Below are 7,201 nucleotides of genomic sequence, written 5' to 3' on the forward strand. Positions count from 1 at the left end.
ACATTAAATGCTCCCACAAATAATGGTGAACACTAAACCTGTTAACAGTTTATAGATGTAGATATGTGTATGAAATTGATGTAACTTATTGAATCTCTCAGTCTTTATGTAGCTCTTAAGGAAACATCATAAAAATTTATGGATTTATTTTCTAATTGGATATACCAAAATAATTGAACTATTTTATTTTAAAATTGTACCTTTTTCAAATTAAGATTTTATGACTTACATGCCACCTTTGTCAATATTCCTGCAAGGGAAGGGACATTTTAAATTTTTCAAACAATATTGTTTTGACAGTTTTTTTAAATGTACAATCTCTTATTTATCTGAGTTCAACCTGAGATCACAAGAGAGAAGAATCTCTAAGTAAAACTATAGAATAACTTCATTAATGGTTACATCTACAAGGAGAGGGGAAGAAGAAATGGTTACATTTTGAAAAGTATTAATTTCATTTGACTTTGAGCTATTAGAAGTCCAGATTTTTTAATCTGAGTACCCCATTTTAAAAAAAGAAATAAAACCTTGCAAAACACACCAGAATACATCCAGTAAAGGAAAATCAAGGTGAAAGGTCAGAGAAAAAAATCAGTGTCTATTCTGTGAATGGTTGAAAGTTATAGAAAGACAGATTTTCAACTCAGTTTAAGTCCAAACTTTCTAATAATTTGATGTAGCAGTGTAATGGGCTGCATTACTAGTGAGTTCCTTATGTGAGTGTGCGAGCATATGCTGGATGACTTATCTAGAATAATGTAGAAGAGAATTAAACATTGAATGGGAGCTTAAATTAGTTAATTTCTGAGGTTCCCTTCCATTCTTAGAATTCTTTGATTTTTATATTGAATTGAGAGAACTAGTATAGTTTTTATTTCAGCAAATTATAGCACCATTGTTCTCAAGGCATGGAAAATGTGCTTTTCATCTTTAAGATACTAAACCTTTTCACTCATGGCAATTTTTTTTAGCTAGCCTCTAAGCTTGGAAAGCAGTGGACCCCATTAATAATCCTGGCCAACTCTCGTAGTGGAACTAATATGGGAGAAGGACTGTTGGGAGAATTTAGGATCTTGTTGAATCCAGTCCAGGTAACTAAAGAAAAAAACTTTTTATATTAATGTTTTCATTTTCCCCAAAATGCAATGATTATTAATGCTTCAAGTCACTAATCACCTGATCATAGGAAAGAATAATAATTACAAAAAGATCAGCCATTTAAATATGTGGATAAACAGGCACTCTTGTGGGAATATAAAATGGTACAACCTCTTTAGAAGACATCTTGGCAGTTTCTTAAAAAGATAAATATAAATTTATTATATCTTCTAGCAAGTCCTCTACTAGGAATCTACCCAAGGGAAGTGAAAACATATTTCTCACAAACATTTGCATGAAAATGTTCACAGCAGCATTATTCATGATAGCTGAAAAGCATAAACAGCCCAGCTGTTCATCAGCTGATGAGTTGATAAACAAAATGTGATGTAGCCCTACAATGGAATACCATGAAATGACAAAAAGGAACAAACTACTGATACGTATATATTACAATAAATGAACCTCAAAAACATACTAAGTGAAAGAAGGCAGATACAAGGGACCTTATATTGTATGACTCCACTTATGTGACTTGTCTAGAAAAGGCAAGTCTGTAGAGGTAGAGAATAGATTATTGGTTCTAGGGCTGGAAATGGGGAGTGATTGCGAATGGACATTGAGGGATCTTATTGAAGCAACAAAAATGTTCTAAACTGGATGATGGTGGTGGTTGTGCAATTCAGTGAACTTAATAAAAATTATTGACTTGTTCACTTCAAATGGGTGAATCTTATATGTAAATTATACCTCAGTTTTAAAAATAAAAGGGATCGTTAAAATTGAATATAATTTTACTTTGAAAAATTAACCAAAAAACAAAAAAATACAAAAAAATTTTAAAGACAACCCATTGTGTAGCAATTAGAAGTGCAATAACTTTGTCCTTCCAATTTGTATTTTTTACACTTTCAATATTATACAGTTTAAGAAAATTATAAAAAATACAGAGAAAATCATTTGCAATTTCTCCATACAAATACATCAGTTCTCTTTTTTCTTGTTCTTTCCATTAATTATCTATGCATTTACTTTACATATTAACAGTACTATAACAATAATCTAGATACAAATTTGCATTCTGATTTTTTTAATTTTAATGGTATAAATATTTTTCCTTGTTTCAACATAGTCCTCATAGTTACATATTTAATGACTAAAATAATTGAATGGAAATAGCATTATTTATCCAGTCTCTACTGTTGAAAGGTAACACTGTCTCTATGATTGTACTATAAATAATGCCACAGTGAATATTTTTATACATATTTTTAGGCATTTTTGTCTTTCGAAATATTTTTCTAGGGTCGTTGACAGAATTATGGATAATCAAAGTTACTTGCATTTTTATGTCATTTTCTATGTATTGCAAAATTGCTTTCCAGAAATTTGTGCTAAGTTGCACTGGTGATTTTTTTTTAAGCCAGTATAAGATATGAAACACTAATTAAAGGTGAACTTAGCACATTGTGGTTTATGTGAACAAGAAGGAGGCAATGTGGTATAGTAGATAAACTATAACTTTTTTTTTTTTTTGAGACAGAGTCTTGCTTTGTTGCCGAAGCTGGAGTGCAGGGGCATGATCTTGGCTCACTGTAACCTCTGCCTCCCAGGTTCAAGTGATTCTCCTACCTCAGCCTCCCGAGTAGCTAGGATCACAAGCACACAACACCACACTGGCTAATTTTTGTATTTTTAGTAAAGACAGGATTTCACCATGTTGGCCAGGCTGGTCTCGAACTCCTGACGTCAAGTGATCCACCCGCCTTGGCCTCCCAAAGTGCTGGGATTATAGGCATGAGTTACCACACCTAGCCTTGTATTTCAGCACTTAATTACCTGGACAATCACAGGCAAGTGATTTAACCTTCCTGCACCTCAGTTTCCAGCCCAATAGAATGAGGCTAACTCTTGCTTTGTAAAGTCAGTGTGGGGATGAGCTACAATGAATATAAAGAGTCTGGCAGGGTGCCTGGCATATTGTTAAATACATAGTAGCCAGTAATGTTATTTAACTGTATCTCTACTCATCTAGAGGGAAATCATCATTACAGATGAAGGAAAATGTTGGATAAAAATAATTTGTCTTTTTCTTTTGTTTCTAGGTTTTTGATGTAACTAAAACTCCTCCTATCAAAGCCCTACAACTCTGTACTCTTCTCCCATATTATTCAGCTCGAGTACTTGTTTGTGGAGGGGATGGGACTGTAGGGTGGGTCCTGGATGCAGTTGATGACATGAAGATTAAGGTATTAGTCTTTAAGAACTACTACAGAAGGACTTCTAAGATAAATATACTATACATATATATATATATATGGGTTTTGTTGTTGTTTTGTTGTTGTTGTTGTTTTTTCTTGAGATACAGTCTCGCACTGTCACCCAGGCTGGAGTGCAGCGGCGCAGACACAGCTAACTGCAACCTCCATTTCTCAGGTTCAAGCCATCCTCCCACCTCAGCCTACAAAGTTGCTGAGACTATAGGTGTGCGCTACCATGCCTGGCTAATTTTTGTATTTTTTGTAGAGACAGGGTTTCACCATGTTGCCTGGGCTGCTGTCAAACTCCTGGGCTCAAGCGATCCTCCCACCTTGGCCTCCCAAAGTGCTGGGATTACATGGGTGAGCCACTATGCCCAACCTAATATAGAATATTTTTGCTTTATATTTTTTATTATGCAGATGAATATTAGACATTGCCAGCTTCAAATAGTTAAAAATGAGATGTTTTGATTAAGCAATTAGCACAAGCTTTAGCAAAACAACATACAGTTGTTATATTTGTATCCTTACTGTTTTGGTCTTATTAAATTTTACAAAATATTATTACCCAGCAAATAGTCTGAGAGAAAAATCTAAAACATATCTTCCATATTCTAGGGACAAGAAAAGTACATTCCACAAGTTGCAGTTTTGCCTCTGGGAACAGGCAACGATCTATCCAATACATTGGGTTGGGGTACAGGTTATGCTGGAGAAATTCCAGTTGCGCAGGTTTTGCGAAATGTAATGGAAGCAGATGGAATTAAACTAGATCGGTAAGTTACGTTTCCCCAAAAAGTAGATTTCTTGAGATTTAGCCATAATTGGTTAACAAGTGAAGACTTGTGTAGATGAAATGTGCCATGTAATTTAAATGTGAAAGACTATACTAGTTGTACCTACACAGATACTGGTGTTTTGTTTTATTATGTAAGAGCCGAAGTAATAAGTTACACTGAGTACTTATCCCTAAATTTGCATGCTCATATACGTGTGGTTACTTTTGTAGATGGTATTTTAATAGAAAACCCTCATTTATCCAAACATCCAGAGTATGGGGTTTATTGTAAAACGTGCTGTTTTTTTTAACTTCTGTTTTTTAGATGGAAAGTTCAAGTAACAAATAAAGGATACTACAACTTAAGAAAACCCAAGGTATGTTGTTAGTGCCTCAGTTGCAAGTGGTTTCAGCTTCATTGCACAAGATACGGCACTCTGTGGTGGGATACAGAGACCTGGTGCTTATCTCAAGGGAGCTGGCTGTGGAGCAGAACAGAAGCTTATATGCTTACCTCACAAGCTGGACTGTAAATGTGTTATGGGAGAGAACAGGGTGCAGGTATGCTTAGTTCTGCCCTAGCTGAGAAGATTCAGAGGAAGTGGTACGGGAGTTGGTCCTTAAAAAAGCAAAGGACTTTCCAGGCAGAGGGAAAAGAGGTGAGAGAGTGCAAAGCATGGTTAGCAAGTAGCAAATAATACAGAGAGAGTAGATCTGTATTTTTAAAAGATACTCTGGAGATAATGTGAAAATAGCTCAGAAGCCTGCACTAGGTAGAATCAGGATGAGGACAATGCAAAGACATTTTAGAGGTAGAATTAATCAATACTTGACAACTGATTAGTATAAAGGGGAGAGAGAAAATACATATTACTATTAGATTTCTGGTTTTTATAACTGAATATATGGAAATGACTATAAGAAAAATACCAAGTTTCAGGTTTGGGTAGGAAGAAAATGAGATAGATATTGGGCATATCAATCTAAAAGTTTTCGTAGTGTTAAACAAGAAGTTGGACGTTTAGGCTTATTGCTCAGGAATAAAGACAGAGCTAGAGATGCAGATTGAGGAATCTAGACTGGGTTAGGAAGTAAAATAAACTGGGGAGGGGGCAGGGGGAGTAGCCCAAGTTGTGGGATTCACATCCCTATTTATCAGCCTTTGAACTGAAGCCTTATTTCTGATAATTGTTTAAATGCTGAGAATGCATAAGAGAATGTGGGGAGTGAGAGGGGAAAAGAGGGCCAAGAACTACATCTTTTCTTTTTTTTTTTTTCTTTTGTTGTGGAGACAAGGTCTCAGTCTATCACTCAAGCTGGAGTACGGTATTGTGATGACAGCTCACTGCAGCCTCGACCTCTGGGCCCAAGCGATCCTCCCACCTCAGCCTCCGAAGTAGCTGGGACCACTGGCATGTGCCACCATGCCCAGATAGTTTTTGTTTTTGTTTCTGTTTTGTAGAGAGAGGGTCTCCCTATATTGTCCAGGCTGGTCTCGAACTCCTAGGCTCAAGCAATCCTCCCACCTCAGCCTTCCAAAGTGTTGGGATTACAGGCATGAGTCACTGTGCCCAGCCATGAACTACATCTTGCAAATAGATATATTTAGGTGACACAGATTAAGAGAGGCCACTAAAGGAGACTAAAGAGTGTAGTAAGTAAATAAGGAGAAAACAGAGAAAGAGAATTACAGTAGGTGGGTGATAAACAGCAAAATTAAAGCAGACTTTAAAGAAGAGCATTTGGGGAACACTGATGCATGTTTCTCTGCTTCTCCATCTCCTTGCCACTGAAATCCCTCTAAAATGTGCCTCTAAAAGATCTTGTATAGGTCTTTGAGAAGGCACAAAACCTTAAGGAGAAAGAGATCACAGCAGTCTTCAGAAGCCAAAACTAGGAAGGTTCGCATATTGAAAAAAGCTCAAAAGTGCCTACACTGCAGAAAACCAAGAAAGAAACCAGTTTATTGAGCAGAACCAAGCAAAGGCTTAGGAATTCTATGCTTACCTCACAAGCTAGACTATAAATGTGTTATGGGAGAGAACAGGGTGCAGGTGTGCTTAGTTCTGCCCTAGCTGAGAAGATTCAGAGGAAGTGATACGGGAGTTGGTCCTTAAAAAAAGCAAAGGACTTTCCAGGCAGAGGGAAAAGAGATGAGAGAGTGCAAAGCATGGTTAGCAAGTAGCAAATAATACAGAGAGAGTAGATCTGTATTTTTAAAAGATACTCTGGAGATAATGTGAAAATAGCTTAGAAGCCTGCACTAGGTAGAGGCTTCTACCACATCACTCAGAGAGCAGTAGTATAGAGTCACCACATCACTCAGAGAGCAGTAGTATAGAGTGGTTCTGAAAATAGAAGGAGTGAGCGAAAGAAGCTGTTTGTCCCCTAGATCACTTCCCCTTTCCCCAACTTCACATGGTCATTTACTACCCTCCTCAACTCAGGTAGTAGATTGGAGGTTTACTCCGGAAAGTTTAGAGACTCTAGCCAGCTAACGCCATACTGAAAACAGATTTAGTGCAAAGTGAGATCACTGGCCCTTTTCATCCACTCAACTTCAAGAATAGTGGCAGAGAGGATTTCTCTCTGGGGAAGCTAACTTGCCCAAGATAAAAATTAACACGTACCAATATTTGAGTGTCCCGTAGCAAAAGGACCAGATTTTTGCACTGTAGTCCTATAATGAAGCTTATACCCTAGCAAGAGCTGCTTTTGGATGCAAAGTTCACAGTTTGCCTTTTATGCCTTACTCTTAAAACATGAATATATACAGCCAAGGATTGGAGGCACAAACAAACATTTAAGGAAAGCCTCTGCCATGAGAGAGCCCCAAAGAAACAACAAGAAAGAATTGTAGGAAACACAGTCCAGGAAGCTGAAGGAAGTCAGGGAGTGGGACTAATGTTCTCAGAGAAAAATGAAAATATTAATAGAACAGGGTTCTATAAAAGGAACATTCAGAAACACATACCTCAAAAAAGGCTCTTATAAACTAAAATTCGGTATCAGATTGGAAAGTACAATTGAAGACACCACTCAGAAAATACAACAAAAAGCAAAG

General features: G+C 36.8%; 1 protein-coding gene across 9 annotated transcripts in view; it reads left to right on the forward strand.

The window, feature by feature from the left end:
* The window catches only part of DGKE (diacylglycerol kinase epsilon), a 35,417-nt gene that overhangs the window by 10,568 nt on the left and 17,648 nt on the right, over nt 1–7,201 (forward strand). For 6 of the 9 annotated variants that reach the window (XR_002958079.2, XM_011525394.4, XM_017025244.3 and 3 more), the window contains exons 4-7: nt 972–1,091; nt 3,204–3,347; nt 3,978–4,135; nt 4,463–4,514. Coding sequence is in view for 8 of the 9 variants with exons in the window: in XM_011525394.4 (XP_011523696.1) it covers nt 972–1,091; nt 3,204–3,347; nt 3,978–4,135; nt 4,463–4,514 (474 nt within the window). In the remaining variant the exon portion in view is untranslated. Of the gene's footprint in view, nt 1–971; nt 1,092–3,203; nt 3,720–3,977; nt 4,136–4,462; nt 4,515–7,201 lie in introns of all 9 variants that reach the window. The other 3 variants (XM_047436959.1, XM_017025243.3, XM_047436960.1) reach the window with 1 other exon arrangement.

The sequence above is a fragment of the Homo sapiens genome, chromosome 17 (genome assembly GCF_000001405.40).
Source record: "Homo sapiens chromosome 17, GRCh38.p14 Primary Assembly".
Classification (NCBI taxonomy): domain Eukaryota; kingdom Metazoa; phylum Chordata; class Mammalia; order Primates; family Hominidae; genus Homo; species Homo sapiens.